Genomic DNA, 18,525 nt, shown 5'->3' on the forward strand with positions numbered 1-18,525 from the left:
TTCACAAAATAACACTGCCCCTCATATCACTGCCCCTCACATATTATTTTGTCTGCTCAATTATACAGTTAATGTAGGAAAGGCAAGACAAATGCTTAACTGTTTTTCTTTATCAGTTTATAAGATAATAAATTGGTTCCCTATCAAATTCCAAAAGTGACCTCTTTTGAAAAAAGTATCATGAACTCATGGATTTAAATATATTTAAAAGGTTTCAACCCATTGTAATGGTCATTATTATTACTGAAGCTCAAACTGTTACATCTTTGGGCATTTCTTCAAGTTAGCTCTTGAGTCTTTTGACATGACCTGACTAGTCTTTGATATCTTCCTTGCTATTTAATATACTCCAGGTTAATTCTTTATATTTGTGCTCTAGATCTGAAATCAGCTACTTCTCTAAGAAGCCCTGCCTTGTTTCAGTGAGAAATGATATTTCAAGTGATGGCTTTACATACACACATACACAAAATATCTCTTGAGTTCATATTGATACTTCCAATTCTAATTTGAGACTACAAAATCCCAGCACTTTGGGAGGCTGAGGCAGGAAGGTTGCTTGAGGCCAGGAATTTGAGACCAGCCCAGGCAACACAGCAAGACCCCATCGCTACAAAAACGTGAAAAAATTAGCTGGGCATGGTGGCATGTGCCTGTAGTTCTACCTACTCAGGAGTTTGGGGTGAGAGGATCATTGAGCCCAGGAGGTTGAGGTTGCAGTGAGCTGTGATCATGTCACTGCATCTCAGCCTGGATGACAGAGCAACACACTGTCTCAAAAATAATGACAACTATTGCACTGTATTTACCTTATCAGAACATATGGCTGTTCCTACACTCTCTCCTTCTAAGCCCTCATTTAGTTTTGTTCTACAGGTAATTGTGTTGAACATTTACCACTAGTCCTTAAAATGTCTTCATAGTCATTCCTAGTCAGAAGCTCATTATCTAGTAGATTCCTCAGAAAAGGATCAGAAGAACAATATTCCCCACGTTCTTCATGTTGATAACAGTCTGTATGTGTCCATGATACCTGAAGGCCTGTTTTGTTGTATAAAAGATTCTTGGCGCACTCTTCCTTGAGTATCTTAAATATGTTACTCCATTTTTTTCTGCCAAAAGTGTTACTGCCAAAAAGTCTCATGATAGTCTAATTTTATTTCTCTTATAAGTCACGTCATCTTTTTTCTTATATGGACACATAAGTAGCACATGTGCTATTTTGTCTAGATTTCCAAAGGATCTTATTTCTTTTTTCTTTAAAGGCCAGTAATTTCACTATAATTTTTCTCCACATTTTTATTAGTAATTTTCCTTAGTGTTGCTCAGTCTGGGTCCATGTCCTTAGAAAAGTGATGTGTCTATTCAATATGTAATTTCAAATCATTTAATTTCAGGACAGTAGGAAAGTTTCTTTAATTATTGTTTTAATATGGGTTCAATTCCCTTGCTTTGGTTTTCCCCTTCGAGGACTCCTAGTATCCATATATCAATTTTCCTTGCCTGTCATCAATATTTGATACTTTCTCTTGACTCTGTTTTTATCTTTTTCTGTTTTTTTGAGATAGGTCTCACTCTGTCCAGGCTGAAGTGCAGTGGTGTGATCACAGCTCACTGCAGCCTCGACCTCCTGGGCTCAAGTGATCCTCACACCTCAGCCTCTCCATAGCTGGGATTACAGGTATGAGCCACCATGCCCAGCTAATTTTTGTATTTTTTGTAGAGACGAGGTTTTGCCATGTTGCCCAGGCTGGTCCTGAATCGCTGAGCTCAAGCAATCTGCCCTCCTCAGCCTAGCAAAGTGCTGGGATTACAGGGTGAGCCACTGTGCCCAGCCTATCTTTTTGTTTCTTTTGTAATTTGAATTTTTTTCTGCATTTTGTTTCTTTTTTTTTTTTTTTAATTATACTTTAAGTTTTAGGGTACATGTGCACATTGTGCAGGTTAGTTACATATGTATACATGTGCCATTCTGGTGCGCTGCACCCACTAACTCGTCATCTAGCATTAGGTATATCTCCCAACGCTATCCCTCCCCGCTCCCCGCACCCCACCACAGTCCCCAGAGTGTGATATTCCCCTTCCTGTGTCCATGTGATCTCATTGTTCAATTCCCACCTATGAGTGAGAATATGCGGTGTTTGGTTTTCTGTTCTTGCGATAGTTTACTGAGAATGATGATTTCCAATTTCATCCATGTCCCTACAAAGGGCATGAACTCATCATTTTTTATGGCTGCATAGTATTCCATGGTGTATATGTGCCAAATTTTCTTAATCCAGTCTATCATTGTTGGACATTTGGGTTGGTTCCAAGTCTTTGCTATTGTGAATAATGCCGCAATAAACATACGTGTGCATGTGTCTTTATAGTAGCATGATTTATAGTCATTTGGGTATATACCCAGTAATGGGATGGCTGGGTCAAATGGTATTTCTAGCTCTAGATCCCTGAGGAATCGCCACACTGACTTCCACGATGGTTGAACTAGTTTACAGTCCCACCAACAGTGTAAAAGTGTTCCTATTTCTCCACATCTTCTCCAGCACCTGTTGTTTCCTGACTTTTTAATGATTGCCATTCTAACTGGTGTGAGATGATATCTCATAGTGGTTTTGATTTGCATTTCTCTGATGGCCAGTGATGATGAGCATTTTTTCATGTGTTTTTTGGCTGCATAAATGTCTTCTTTTGAGAAGTGTCTGTTCATGTCCTTCGCCCACTTTTTGATGGGGTTGTTTGTTTTTTCCTTGTAAATTTGTTTGAGTTCATTGTAGATTCTGGATATTAGCCCTTTGTCAGATGAGTAGGTTGCGAAAATTTTCTCCCACGTTGTAGGCTGCCTGTTCACTCTGATGGTAGTTTCTTTTGCTGTGCAGAAGCTCTTTAGTTTAATTAGATCCCATTTGTCAATTTTGTCTTTTGTTGCCATTGCTTTTGGTGTTTTGGACATGAAGTCCTTGCCCATGCCTATGTCCTGAATGGTAATGCCTAGGTTTTCTTCTAGGGTTTTTATGGTTTTAGGTCTAACGTTTAAATCTTTAATCCATCTTGAATTGATTTTTGTATAAGGTGTAAGGAAGGGATCCATGCATTTTGTTTCTATTAAGGAGCATTATGTGTTGTGTTTACTTGCTATTGAGTTCCTCTTAGTTTAGTCTTCTATTACTAAATGATTTTTTCATTTAGTTTTACTTTTTTCCTGATTTTTTCCTATTCTGATTTATTTTGTTTTTTTCACATCTTGTATTATATTTTTAATGTCTTTTAACTTGCTTTGAAATAGTAGGTGACATTTCAGGCTGTTCTGTAGGCATGTATTCTGATGTGCTTTTATTATAGGGCATGTTATTCTATACCTTATTTTCCCTTTCCTTATAATAGCTTTGTATGGGATTTAACCTTGATGCTTTTCTATTACTTTTTAATTTTATTAAAATTTTTTGTTGTAAAATATAATACAAATAAAAGCATACAGAATATAAATATACAGCTTAACAAATTATTACAAAGCAAATATTATTATAACCACTATTCAAAATTAAGAATTAGAATACCACCTGTGTCCCTAAGCCTCCCAATTAAAACCTCCTCAACTCCCTTAAAAAGTAACTACTAACTGGACCTTTAGTGTAACCCTTTTTGCTTTTTTTTTTTTTTAAGAAGTTTTACTAAGTAGACACCACCCTTAAACACCACTGCTTAGTTTCACTTGTTCTTGAATGTCATTAAATGGAACGATATAGGATGTACTTTTGCATCTGATTTCTTTTACTCAACACTCGGTTGTGGTATTCATCCACTTCACTGTGTGCAATTATAGTTTTTTCATGACTGCATAATATTCCAATGTAAGAATATACCACAATTTACTTACTCATTTTACTGTTGATGGACATTTGGGTTTTTCTAGTTGGGGAATTTTAACAGGAATAGCCCTGCTCTGAAATTCTGGTACATATCTTTTGGTAAACATACTTGTATATCTATCTATAGGTTATAATCCTAAAATAGGAATTCTTGTGCTGTCCTTTTTTTTTTTTTTAGAAATTTTACAATTTATATTGACATTTAGTAGATGCCAAATGGTTTTCTTAAGTGGCTGTATCAATTTATACTCTAACCAACTGTGTATGATATTTCTCTTTTCTTTTTGCCTCTCTCCCTCTTTTCCTTTCTTCTATTTATTTATGTATTCAACTCATATTTACTGAGCCTCTGGATTGGATTCTGATTATCAAATGATGAGTTAAAAGAAGTTAAAGTGTGCATCCCAGGAATCCTCGCCTCCTTCACCTAGTTCAGTCAGCAGACAGACAGGAAGCCTCCAGCACCATCTGGGTTCTCAAAAAGTCTAAGCTGGGTCTGGGGTGGTCTATAACACCCAAACCTCCCTCCTGGAAAGTAATGTGGCAGAGCCTCTGAGGCTACTCGCTGGCCCCTACTGGGGAAAAGAATCTCTCCCCTCATCCTGAGAGAGTCTTAATCAAGCTCCCTCTTCTAGGAGCCAGTCAGTTACACATCTGACCACAACAGGAGCAGTCACTGGGCCCCATCATGTTTCTGGAGGCTTGGGGAACTTTTGGTTTGTTTTGTTTTATTTGAGGTAAAATTCATATATATCACCATTTTCACAATTTTAAAGTATTTAAAGTATACAGTAGTCTCTAGTACACTCACAATGTTGTGCAACCATCACCACTAATTCCAGAATATTTTAAGTGCCCCAAGAATAAGCCTCACACTCATTACGTAGTCATTCCCCACTCCCTTCTCCATCTACCCCCAGCCCCTGACAACCACTAATCTGCTTTCTGTCTCTGTGGATTTGCCTATTCTAAACATACGATATAAATGGAATCATACAATATGTAGGACCTTTTGTTTCTGGATTTTTCTCACTTAGCATGTTTTGAAGATTCATCCATGCTGTATCATCATCAATATTTTATTCCTTTTTATGGCTGATATATAATATAGATATATAATATTCCATTATATGTCTATACCACATTTTGTTTATCCATTCATCAACTGATAGTTATTTCCACTTTTTTTCACTATTATGAATAATACTGCTATGAATATTCATGAATAAGATTAGGCTTAAATATATGTTTTCATTTCTCTTGGGTATATACCTAAGAATGGAATTGCTGGGTCATATGGTAATTCTATGTTTAACATTTTGAGGACCCAAGAAACTCTCCCACAATGTCTGCACCATTTTAACTTCCCACCAGCAATGTATGAGTGTTCTAATTTATTTACATCTTTGCTAACATTTTTTATTTTCTGTGTTTGCTTTTTATTGTAAGACACAGTATCTCACTGTGGTTTGGATTTGCATTTCTCTAATAAATAAAGATATTGACCATCCTTACATGGACTTACTGGCCACTTGTATATATTCTTCGGAGAAATGTCAATTCAAGTTCTTTGCTAATTAAATACTGTGCTGTCTTTTTGTTGTTGAGTTATAAGAGTTCTTTATATATTCTGGATACTAGACTCTTACCAGAAAATGATATGGAAATATTTTCTTCCATTCTGTGGGTTGTCTTTTCATTTTCTTGATAGTGCCCTTTGACATACAAAAGTTTTTTTAATTTTGATGAATTTTTTTCTTTGGTTGCTTGTGCTTTGGGTGTCATATCTAAAAATCTGTTGCCAAATCTACAATCATGAAGATTTTGTCTTATGTTTCCTTCCAAGACTCTTTTTTTCCCTTTCCCTGCCTACTCTTCTAAGAGTTTTACAGTTTTAGCTCTTATGTTTAGATCTTTGATCCATTTTGAGTTTTTTGTTTTTGTTTTTGTTTTTTGAGACAGAGTTGCACTCATCACCCAGGCTGGAGTGCAGTGGCGTGATCTAGGCTTACTGAAACCTCCGCCTTCCAGGTTCAAGCAATTCTCCTGCCTCAGCCTCCTGAGTAACTGGAATTACAGACACATGCCACCATGTCCAACTAATTTTTGTATTTTTAGTAGAGACAGGGTTTCACCATGTTGGCCAGGCTGTTCTTGAACTCCCGACCTCAAGTGATCCACCCACCTTTGCCTCCCAAAGTGTAGGGATAATAGGTGTGAACCACCATGCCTGACCTTGAGGGTTGTTTTTCTTTTTTTAATATGATGTGAGGTAGGGGCTCAACTTCATTCTTTTGCATGTGGATATCTAGTTGTTCCAGCAGTATTTGTTGAAGGAACTATTATTTTCTCCATTTAATGGTCTTGCCATTCTTGTCAGGATCAATTGACCACAGAGGTATGGGTTTATTTCTGGATGCTCAATTCTATTCCATTGATCTATAAGTTCACCCTTATGTTTTGATTACTGTAGCTCTGTAGTAAGTTTGAAATCAGCAAGTGTGAGTCCTCCAACTTTATTCTTTTTTAAGATTGTTTGGCTATTTGGGGTCCCCTGTGATTCCACATGCATTTTGGGGTCAACTTGTCCATTTATGAAAAGCAAAAAAAAAGCAGTTGCATTTTGATAGGGATTGTACTGAATCTATAAATCACTTCAGGGGAGTATTGCCATCTTAACGGTATTTTGGCTACTGTATTTCTATATAAATTTTAGAATCAGCTTACCAATTTCTACATTTTGCAGGCTTTTTAGCCTGCAAAAATTCTGCTTGGAAACTAGTATTGGTTTTTGACATTGGCTGTTTCCTATTAAATTGCTAACTTCCATCTACCTGCACTGCCCATGGTCTTCCTTCTTAAAAGCTTTCCTACGTCTGTTATCAAGGACATCCACACACCCACTCATATTAAACTACTAGAAAGCTTAATGCTTCCTTCTACATTAGAATATTTTCCTTACAGTGAGCTATGATTGTGCCACTGCACTCCAGCCTGGGTGACACAGCAAGACTCCATCTCTAAAAAATAATTTTTTCTAATAAAAAAAGAATATTTTCCTCTTACAGAACAAGCTGAAATTACAGTACATTTACCAGACCTACCTTTCTCTCAGCTTTTAAGGAGAAATAATGTATCTTAATTTATAAATTCATGCAAACAAAATCCTCCTATTCACAAGATTAAAAAATGGTTTTACCTGTATAGCAAAAGTACCAACTCCGCCTGAAGCGCCTAAGATTAGAACACTGAAATGCAAAGGAAACCACAATTAACGAGAATCTAAAGCAGATATAACTGGATAAACGTTTTCAACAAATAACTGGTTGATGATAAGATGATAAATAATTCTAAAAGAAAATAAAGTTATTCAGCTTCCCAAGATATATTACACAAGGATTTTTATTTTAGGTTCACCAAGAAACTGCAGTTGCTTAAAATAAAGACATTCTATGAGCTCTGTACCAAGAATATCAAATACCGAAAATACCAATAATTTGTTGGTTTAAGATAGCTCAGATGGTCCTTTGTAATATCTGCCTTATAATTTTTCTAGGCTAAAATTGTTAGAGCTTCCTCTATGAGAGGGAGATTTGGGGCCCTTTTTAATTTGTTATGCTTAGCTGTTCTCTAAGAAAAATCACATTCCTGACTACATTCTCACCAAAGCGAAATAAACATCTTTTGTTCAGAGATGTCAAGTTCATCAACTTTCATAAATGAAAATCAATTCCCATCCTCGATGTGGCTTCCTGTTAAAGCAGAGGAATCTGTCAAACCAGCACAACCATCCTCATACTGCATGTTCTTACCATGTTAACTCACAATAGCCTTGAAGACCAGGGTGCTGAGCCTGGATCAGTCAGGGCAGGAGGGTGGGGCGGGACAAGGGTGAAGGGGTGAGGGGTAGGGTAAGGGATTATGAACTCTCTGAAATTGTGAATTTCCTAAAATAACATGTAAAATTTGTGCGATGATGCATATGCTTATTGACAAGGAAAGGAATCTAGACCTATCATCTATTTCCCAAAGAAGTGTGCAATCCAAAAGAGAATCACCAGTCAAAAAACTGCTTTCCATGCTCTTACATTTTATTCTTAAATTAAGGTAGAGCTTCAGAGAACTGCCTACTTGGACTGGATGGTTTCAAGTCCCAGAAAATTGTTTGTACTGTACTTTGGTGTCATGCTACTGATTGAGGCTGAGGGACATTATAAAAAGTGATTGTTTGATATCTGATACTGTATTAGCTAAGGGGATATTGTTGACAGAATTCATGAGAATTCTCTTTATGACGGCCTACAAAAAAAACACTTTTCTGAACACTAAGTGGTGGCAGTATCTGTCCTATTTAACATCACCGTAAATTGAGTAACTGCTAGTGTGGGTCCCTACTGCCTTGGCTGCTGGAAAGTGCAGGGAATTTTGCCACCTATCTCTAGTAAGTACACCAAATCTTGGAACACGCATTCTATCTATAACCTTCACCCTAGTTTCATTTCATTTTTTTCTATCTTGCCCAAATCATAGAAGGCTGTTTGTCACCCTTATTTATAGCTTAACAGTTACTACTAAAATTTTTGAGCCAGTTGTTCCCTTTGAAATTAAAACCATTAAATGTAATTAAGCCAAGTCTCCTTCCAAATTGTGTTCCTTCTAGAAGGATTTATAATTTCCAAAATTATAAAGACTAGAAGAAATTTTAAAGATCCTGTTAGGGTTCAGAAAACAATACCCCAGAGTATGTCACTTTGACATGCTGAGTACTTTGAAGTAAAGAAGCAGCCTCAGAACGAAGGTCTCTCTGACCTTCTCTCACCATCCCGGCCACGGTCTCTCATCCCTTCCCTTTGTCTCTCCTGAAGTGCAAAGGGACGATTTCTCTGAAGTTCCCTCAGAAGGAATGCTATTTTCTTGGGCCCCCTCCCTATAATCTCACCAAACACAGAAGATTAACTCACATGAAAGAAGACTAGAGTAGGTGCCACACACACAGCCCAGATGAATTTTGTCCTAGGCTACTGTCTGTTCTTTGGGCCCATTCATCTCCCCTCAAAATAATTTGCTCTTCCTCTAAAATTGCCTACATACTCCCCTTCCCTCCACCCTATGAAGAGGGTATGTAGGCATCACCCATTTGGCCCTTCTTTGAGGTTTGTACCTTGTGTGACTTCCATGCACCTGCACCTTATTACCTGCCCAGGTCTGCTGCCACCAACACTGACAGTGACCCCACCCCTCCAGTAGTAGAGCTGCCACACTGCCATGCATGCAGTGCAGAGACTAGAGGACCAGTTCACCTGGGGCCCACAACTACCACTGCTGGCCCTCATGCACAATGACCACAGTGCTGAGGACTAGTCCACCCAAAGCCTGCCATCCACACCAGCAGCAGGAATGCCATGTAGCTGTATGTGTCACCTAGTGACCTGAGAACCAGACTGCCTGGCACCCCTATGTCCAACAAAAGTGCCCAACAGGCCAAGCGCGGTAGCTCATGCCTGTAATCCCAGCACATTGGGAAGCCGAGGCAGGCAGATCATGAGGGCAAGAGATCGAGAACATCCTGGCCAACATAGTGAAACCCCGTCTCTATTAAAAATACAAAAATTAGCTGGGCACGGTGGCACACTCCTGTAGTCCCAGGAGGCTGAGGCATGAGAATCGTTTGAACCCAAGAGGTGGAGGTTGCAGTGAGCTGAGATGGCACCACTGCACTCCAGCCTGGCAACAGAGCGAGACCCTGTCTCAAAAAAAAAAAAAAAGTGCCTAACAGCCTCCACAAACTACAGCGTAAGCCACTGAGGAATTACTGACACGATTGATAGTGATTACAGCCAAAGAAATCATACAAAGATGCTGGGTGCAGTGGCTCATGCCTGTAATCCCAGCACTTTGGGAGGCCGAGGTGGGCAGATCACGAGGTCAGGAGATCGAGACCATCCTGGCTAACATGGTGAAATCCTGTCTCTACTAAAAAAAATACAAAAAAATTAGCCAGGCATGGTGGCAGGTGCCTGTAGTCCCAGCTACTCGGGAGGCTGAGGCAGGAGAATAGCATGAACCCGGGAGGCAGAGGTTGCAGTGAGCTGAGATCGCGCCACTGCACTCCAGCCTGGGCGACAGAGCAAGACTCTGTCCCAAAAAAAAAAAAAAAAAAAAAAAAAAAAGAAATCATACAGAGACTACACTACTGCGCTCACCCAGGAACAAAGCCAAAGCACTCTACTCAAACAACACAATAGATACATCTACAGGAAAAAGTACTGGAAGTACTAGCCAGAGCAATTAAGCAAGAGAAAGAAATAAAAGGCATCCAAATTGGAAAAGAGGATGTCAAATTGTCCCTCTTTGCAGATGACATGATCTTACATATAGAAAAAACAAAAGACCACCAAAAACCTCTTAGAATTGATAAACAAACTCATTAAAGTAGCACAAAATCAACATACAAAAATCCGTAGCAGCCAGGAGCAGTGGCTCACGCCTGTAATCCCAACACTTCAGGAGGCTGAGGCAGGCAGATCGCTTGAGTCCAGGAGTTCAAGACCAGCCTGGCCAACACAGCAAAACCTATCTCTACTAAATACAAAAATTAGCTGGGCACAGTGGCACACGCTTGTAGTCCTAGCTATTTGGGAGGCTGAGGTGGAAGGATCACTTGAGCCCAGGAAGGCGGAGGTTGCAGTGAGCTAAGATCGTGCCACTGCCCTCCAGCCTGGGTTACAGAGCAACACTCTGTCTCCAAAAAGAAATTTTTTTAAATAAACAAATATAAATAAAAATTTAAAAATCAGTGGCATTTCTATATACCAACAATGAACTAGCTGAAAAAGAAATCAATTTCATTTACAATAGCTACAAAAAAACCACTTAGGAATAAATTTAACCAAGGAGGTGAAAGATTTATATAATGAAAACTAGAAACACTGATAAAAGAAATCAAAGAGGGCTAGGCACGGTGGCTCACACCTCTAATCCCAGCACTTTGGGATGCCAAGTGGGGGAGGATCGCTTGAGCTCAGGAGTTCAAGACCAGCCTATCTCAAAAACATACATATAAATTAAATAAATAAATAGAAAAGAACACAAAAAAATGGACATCCTATGCTCATGGATTGGAAAAATAAATGTTGTTAAAATGAACAAACCACCCAAAGCAATCTACAGACTTAATTCAAGCCTTATCAAAATATCAATGACATTCTTCACAGAAATTTTTTAAATCCTAAAATTTGCATGGAACCACAAAAGACCTTGAATAACCAAAACAATATGCACAAAAATAAAACAGCAGGAGGCATCACCCTACCTGACTTCAAACTATACCACAAAGCTACAGTAACCAAAACAACATGGTACTGGTATAAAAACAGATACATAGACCAATGGAACAGAATAAAGAACCCAGAAATAAATCAACCTATTTATAGCCAACTGATTTATGACAAAGGCAACAAGAATTGATGTTGGTGAGAGGATAATTTCTTCAATAAATGGTGCTGGGAAAATTGGATATCCATATGCAGAAAAATGGAAACTAGATGCCCATCTCTCACCATATATAAAAACCAACTCAAAATGAATTAAAGACTTAAACATAAGACCCAAAAAAAAACTATTAGAAGAAAGCATATGGGAATACGGGCAAAAATGATATAGGTAAGACTTCAAAAGCACAGGCAGCAAAAACATTAATAAATAGGACTATATCAAACTAAAAAACTCTGTACAGCAAATGAAACAACCAATGAAGAGACAACCTGTAGAATGGGAGAAAGTATATTCAAACTCTACAACCAACAAGGGACTACTACCCAGAATATATAAGGAACTCAAAAAACTCAACAACAACAAAAAAACTAGTAATCCAATTAAAAACGTGCAAAGGATCTGAACAGACATTTCTCAAAAAGAGAAAAATGATCAAGCATAGGCAAAATATGCTGTACATCACTAATAATCAGGGAAATGCAAATTCAAACCACAATGAGATCTCTCACCCTAGTTAGAATGGTTATTACCAAAAAGACAAAAAACAGGGCTTACTTAGGCAGCACATATACTAAAATTGGAATGACACAAAGATTAGCATGGTCCCTGAGCAAGAATGACATGCAAATTTGTGAAGTGTTCCATATAGAAAAAAGACAAAAAAAAATAAATATTGGAAAAGATGCAGAGAAAAGGGGACTCTTATACACCTTTGGTGGGAATATAAGTTAGTATAGCCAATATGGAAAACGGTATGAAGTTTTCCCTAAAAGTAAAACTATCGTAAGATCCAGCAATCCTACTACTGAGTATTTATCCAGAGGAAGGAGAATCAGTCATATCAAAGAGATATCTGCACTCCCATGTTTAATACAACACTATTTGCAATAGCCAAGATATGGAATCAACTTAAATGTCCATTAACAGATAAACAGGTAAAGAAAATGTGGTATGTATACACAAGGTAATACTATTCAGCCATAAAAAAGAAAGAATGATATTCTGTCATTTGTGGCAACAGGGATGAGCCTGGAGGACATTATGTTAAGTGAAATAAGTCAGGCACAAGAAGATAAATACCACGTTTTCACTCAAGGGGGAGCTAGACAAGGTTGAAGTCACAGAAGCAGTGAGTAGAACTGTGGTTTATCAGTCGCCAGGAAGGGTAGCAGGGAGGGAAGAACAGGGTGAGGTTGGTTAACAAATACAAAATTACAGCTAGATAGGAAGAATAAGTTCTAGTACTCTATAGCACTACAAGGTGAATATAGTTAATAATAATTTATTGTATACTTTCAAAAAACTAAAAGAGAGGATTTTTAATGTTCCCAACACAAAGAAATAATCAATGTTTGACTTGAAGGATATGCTGATTGTTCTGATTTGATCATTACACATGGTATCCATGTATTGAAATATCACACTATGCCCCATAAATGTGTACATTACATATCAACTAACATTAAAAGGAAATAAATAATGTGTATAACTTTTCTCCTATTAATCTATTATCAGTTGATTTCAGCAGACTCAGTTATAGAACCTTCAGAGGGCAGAGGTAAAGTACCTTTTGCCCTGACAATTCAAACATAGCTTTAGTCTTCCTAAATGAGGGAAAAAAGTATGAAAAGTGCTTCAAAAATACATTCAAAAATTAATTCCCCCATGAAATATTTCACCCTCTTACTTTTGTCCATTCTTATAGAAGTGTTGCTAGTCAAATTCTCATTTAAGTTCCTCACAATATATTACCTGCACTCTCCAACTTTTCCTCTCACTATTTCCTGAATGGAACTCTTCCTCTGAGACTCTGTTCCCCTAATTCTTCCCCCTACATTGCACACACACTGGTCCATTCCTCCAGGCTCTAGAATGCTATAATTACCTGCTGAGGTCTCCTTTCCCTTGAAGGACCAAGTCCCAGTTTTCCTCTACAATACCCTTAACATAGCCTGGAACCTGTTATCTATGCCACACATCCTACTTCCCAACTTATTCTGCAAGCTCTTAAGGTCAGAGACTTCATATTATGCCCTGCATTGGCCACAGTGCCCTGGATGTAGCAGATGCCTGATCAAAGTTTCTTGACTTTCAAAATCATCCATGGCCAGACATGGTGGCTTACGCCTGTAATCCGGCACTTTGGGAGGCTGAGGCGGGAGGATTGCTTGAGCCCAGGAGTTGAAGATCAGCCTGGGCAACATCATGAGATCACATCTCTACGAAAAATAAAAAATAAATTATCTAGGTATGGTGGTGCTGAGGTGGAAGGATGGCTTGAGCCCAGGAGTTTGAGGCTGCAGTGAGCAATGATTGTGCCACTGTACTCTAGCCTGGGTGACAGAGTGAGACCTTGTCTCTAAAAAAAGAAATCATCCAATCACCATTATGTCCTACAATCAAGGCAACAACTGCTACTACCTCAAGTGAGGGGATCGCCTGGCTACTTGAAAGACTGCATTCAAGTTTCTTCCAGTAAAGAAAAGCTTGAAAATAATTTCTAATTCTCTCTCTGTGAATGCTGGATACTAAATATAATGGCTACTTCAGGATCCAACTGCCAAATACATCTCCGACCTCATTATTGTCAGTTCATCTCTTCCCTATAACTCTTGATCCAAAGCAACTTCATTCCCTCAAATAAAAAAGCAAAACTGTGTTTCACAGCAGGGCTTAGCAAGAGTGGTTCTGCAATAGCAGCTTCAATTCTTTGTGTTGCCACCTGATGGCGACCCCAAGTGCAAAAGCAGCAAGGAGCAGGTCCAATGAATGAAGCGCTGTTAGCTTGTAAAGGAGCCCTGAGGACACATCGTTTTCTGGTCCTGTAAACTCCACATTTTGTGCAGGTTTCAACCATATCTTTCTTCAAAGTCCCCAAAAAGAGAGTAGGCAAAATAAATTTTTTTTTTTTGAGACGGAGTCTCACTCCGTCGCCCAGGCTGGAGTGCAATGGTGCTATCTCAGCTCACTGCAACCTCCGCCTCCCGTGTTCAAGGGATTCTCCTGACTCAGCCTCCTGAGTAGCTGGGACTACAGGCGCCCACCACCACACCTGGCTAATTTTTTTGTATATTTAGTAGAGATGGGGTTTCACCATGTTGGCCAGGCTGGTCTCGAACTCCTGACCTCAGGCAATCCGCCCACCTCAGCCTCCCAAAGTGCTGGGATTACAGGTGTGAGCCACCGCACCCGGCGGCAAAATAAATTTTCAAGCCAACAATAAGCCGGTCGGTCTTCTAAAGTCTGAAGTCTTGTGGCTCAACTAATTATTCTTGTTGTATTCTTCACAGCACGTTCAATGCAAAGGGAAGCAACTGCTGTTGCTGACCTCCCAATGGCCCTTCACTTAAGTCCTACACAGTGGGAATACTTTTTACCTAGCTTGCTGTAATGGCCACACTATATATTCGAATCTCACTGAAGTAGAAGCCTATTTGTGATAGTGAAGAAACGTGTGCTGTATTTGTTGGTTTATATAAAGTGTGTACAGAAATACTCTACTTGAAAAAAGCACTGTTATTCAAAATCGCCAAGGTTTTTAATTGCATGCCTCTATTACTTCTTAAGTACACATATAGAGCTTCTTTGGAAGTCAGAAGGGATTGTACTAGTGACAGATATTTTTTAAATATGGAGAAAATATGAATCAGTATTACATTACTTAGGCATTCTTAAACCCTAAAATCTAACTTGCTCTGTCCTTTTTGCCTAATCTCTGAATTCTCCCTAAACATACATTAAGGCACTGAAGCAATGTTGGCTTCTTTTCCATGACTGAGTCACTTTTTATTTGGCATTTGGGCACCTAAGCCCTCTACAATCACAGTTTTCAGTATTGTAATCTTATGAGGTAGGGCGCCAACCCCCTTAGCTGCCTTACAAAAAAAAAAACAAAAACACGAAACATGCTACAAAACAGCAAGACATCCAGAAGTAGAAAATCATCTTCAAGTTTCTATATTCTGACTTGATCCCAAAAATCTCTGAATGCCAGGGCTGGGTATCTAGAGTCACGGGTTCAGGTTTCAACTCTCTCTCTAATGGAATCCCTGGCCCTCAGATCTGTCACCTACAAAATGATGATGACAGAAGTGTACTCTGGGAGTCAATGAAAAAGAACAGGTGCTTTCCATCTAATTTAAGCTTATATTTTGTTTCTCCACCTTTGAAACAGACATATATGGCCTTCAAAATTGCCCCAGATTTATAGTGAAAAAAGCCACATTATAAGATTAGAGTGTCATCTATTAAATCCTAATGACTTATGAACAAAGATGATTTAAATATGGTGAAATCGACCATCAGTAGAAACAAATGGTTTTAAGAAATAAGGATTATGCTGAAAATGTATCTCATCTTTCACCTCCACAAACTACTTTTTTTCTCAGCCTTGTGGAGGTTCTGAAACACACATGACTTTTAAATCACGGGGAAAACAGATAAAAGATAGCAAAGTGTCTTAGCATAATACGCCAGGTTTATTGTCTTAAAGTGAGTGAGAAACTTAATCTGAATAAGTGGAAAAATATAGCTACAAAACAAATCAATCAAAGGAGACCAAGATAGCCTAGATTTATGTGTCCTCTTCTTCTAAGCCTCTGTAATGCATGTTGACATCCCCCAATTTACAGAAGAGTTTGTGTGTGAATTAAATGTTTAGAAAGTTAAACACATTTTCCCAAGAAAACAAAGCTATTTATATATCTTGGTAAGGTGGCCAGGGTAAGCCATTTATGAAGACTTAGTTAACCCATAATCGACGAAGAACTTTATACACAGGATAACAATGGCTTTGTTATCCGAAGTGTATTCAGAATTTCAACCAGGGGTACTGGGAATGTATCCCCCCAAATGGGATAGGCAGTGGGAACCATCCCAAATCACTGGTTCCTTCAATCTTATACAGAAGCAGATAGAGGGAAAAATGCTTGTGATGGGCAGGGCATGGTGGCTCACGCCTGTAATCCCAGGACTTTGGGAGGCCAAGGCAGGTGGATCACCTGAGGTCAGGTGTTCGAGACCAGCCTGGCCAACATGGTGAAACCCCATCTCTACTAAAAATATAAAAATTAGCCAGGCATGGTGGCGGGCACCTATAATCCCAGCTACTCGGGAGGCTGATGCAGGAGAATCGTTTGAACCTGGGAGGTGGAGGTTGCAGTGAACCGAGATTACACCACTGCACACCAACCTGGGCGACAGAGCAAGACTCCGTCAAAAAAAAAAAAAAAAAAAAAAAAAAAAGCTTGTGATGGGTGACAATAGGGCATAAGACAGAGAGAAGTAGTGAGGTCAGAGGATTTACCATGGAGCCAATGAAGCCGAAGCCCTTCACTTACACAAGGCCCAGAGAGGAACCCTAGCAATATTTTGCATAGACATGTTAGATACGAGTTCTAAATTTCTTTTCAAATAATTAATATGTCAGTATGTTCAATTCTTTGCCTTCTACTTTTAAACTTCCTCATAAAGCAACCTTTTACAATTACCTGCTCCACCCTGACTCATTCCAATCACCTGCTCTACCCTAACTCATTCCATCACCTGCTCCACCATAACTCATTCCGATTACCTGCTACCTGCTCTGCCCTGACTCCCGCCAAAGCACTCACCCCATCATTCTCTTTAAATTAGCCAATCAGAATTAGTTTAGTCTGTGTGGGCTAACCCTAGCCAATAGGGGAATGACAGAGTAGCAGGGGCCACGTGCATCAGGGATAAGAACCCCTTCCCCTCCCTTGTCCAAACATGCGCTCGCCATTGTTCCATCTGTAAGGGCGCACCCTTCTATATAGAAGTAACTGGCCTTGCTGAGAATTAAAAAGAAAATTTTATATTCAAGTGCTATTTCTTTTGTGGCGCCGAAACTTTATATGTAACAGACATGTTTTTGTAAAATTTGTAAAAGATATGCTAACCACAATCAGTTAAGATTGGTCTTTTTTCACTCTTACTCATCAGTCTTGCTTTTTTCTCAGGTGATACTAGATCTAGCTAAAGGGAAGTTGATTGGAAATATACTTGTTTGGGGTTTAGTGGAAAATACTGATGTGGTTCGTAGTCACTTCTGTGTAAAGTTAAGTTATCCCTAGCTGTCCTAGTTTAAGAAATGCCTTCCAGGAATTTCTTCCTACCTCTCATTAAGTCAACTCACCTAAGCCACATGACATTTTCTTAAAGCTGTGTATCACTGCACCCAGCACAGGGTCATGTGAGTAGTGAAGGAGAAAGAAAGTTAAACAAGGTTTGAAATGTACAAAGCCAGAAGCTAGTCTGTGGAAAATTCCTCCAATTAAAAAAATGTAAGAATTTACAAGACAACACTATATGGAAGAGGTTAACAACAAACTAATCAGGATTGTTCATTAAAATACAACAGTATTTTAGGCTTATTCACTACACAAGAAAACGTGAAATGCCTTGAAATCTGTAAACCAAAAATAAAATTCTAAGGCCCCAGCCATCTGAATGGACTCCTCTTCTTGGCCAAGGACATTCCAGAGTTCCCTGAAAATCTAGTTCTGCTCATGATGAGAGAGGAGGTTGCAGGCCTCATTATACCCCTGCAGCATTAACATCAACACAGAACTTGAATCTGATAGGAAACATTTACAGTCTATTCTCTCTAAAGCTGGCTACTTGGAGGCTTCATCTGCATGACAAAACCTAGGTCTCTACAACCCCTTATCTTAACCCAGACATTCCATTTCACTTATAATAAATCTTTCAACCAACTGCCAATCGGAAAATTTTTAAATCTACCTATCACTTGGAAGCCCACCCCTCTTCAAGAGGTCTCACCCTTCAAGATCAGACCAATGTAAATCTTATGTGTATTGATGGATGTATTGTCTTCCAAAAATATATAAAAGCAAGTTGCACCCTGACCACCTTGGGTGCATGTCATCCGGAGGCTGTGTCACAGGCGTGTCCTTAACCTTGCCAAAATAAACTTTCTAAATTGACTGAGACCTGTCTCAGATATTTTGGGTTCACAAATCTTATAGCTGGCATATAAAAGGAACTTGGAAGACATTGTTCCAAATTTGGCAACAATCTTATATTTTACATGACACGAACAATAATGAGTAGTGCTGAGGAAGGTGAAAGAGCAGGGTTTATGAACAATGTCAGGTTTTGACTTAGGGTAAACCACAATTAA

General features: G+C 38.9%; 1 protein-coding gene and 1 pseudogene across 4 annotated transcripts in view, besides 2 other annotated features; one reads left to right on the forward strand and one right to left on the reverse strand.

Moving 5' to 3' along the window:
• Nucleotides 1–18,525, reverse strand: part of RTN4IP1 (reticulon 4 interacting protein 1) — a 59,721-nt gene that overhangs the window by 25,035 nt on the left and 16,161 nt on the right. For all 4 annotated transcript variants that reach the window (NM_001318746.1, NM_032730.5, XM_011536192.3 and 1 more), the window contains one exon: nt 7,069–7,117. In NM_001318746.1, the coding sequence (NP_001305675.1) occupies nt 7,069–7,117 (49 nt within the window). The remainder of the gene's footprint in view (nt 1–7,068; nt 7,118–18,525) is intronic.
• Nucleotides 11,911–12,014, forward strand: RNU6-527P (RNA, U6 small nuclear 527, pseudogene; annotated as a pseudogene).
• Nucleotides 17,614–18,121: an enhancer, noted in NCBI's record as "OCT4-NANOG hESC enhancer chr6:107061294-107061801 (GRCh37/hg19 assembly coordinates)". NCBI's record gives its function as "activates a minimal SCP1, AML or CMV promoter by ChIP-STARR-seq in naive H9 embryonic stem cells {active_cell/tissue: H9 hESC(naive)}" and the evidence as "EXISTENCE:reporter gene assay evidence [ECO:0000049][PMID:30033119]".
• Nucleotides 17,789–18,083: a silencer, noted in NCBI's record as "tiled region #441; HepG2 Repressive non-DNase unmatched - State 16:ElonW, and K562 Repressive non-DNase unmatched - State 23:Low". NCBI's record gives its function as "represses a minimal TATA promoter and a strong SV40 promoter by Sharpr-MPRA in HepG2 and K562 cells {active_cell/tissue: HepG2 | K562}" and the evidence as "EXISTENCE:reporter gene assay evidence [ECO:0000049][PMID:27701403]".

This window comes from Homo sapiens, chromosome 6 (genome assembly GCF_000001405.40).
Source record: "Homo sapiens chromosome 6, GRCh38.p14 Primary Assembly".
Lineage (NCBI taxonomy): Eukaryota > Metazoa > Chordata > Mammalia > Primates > Hominidae > Homo > Homo sapiens.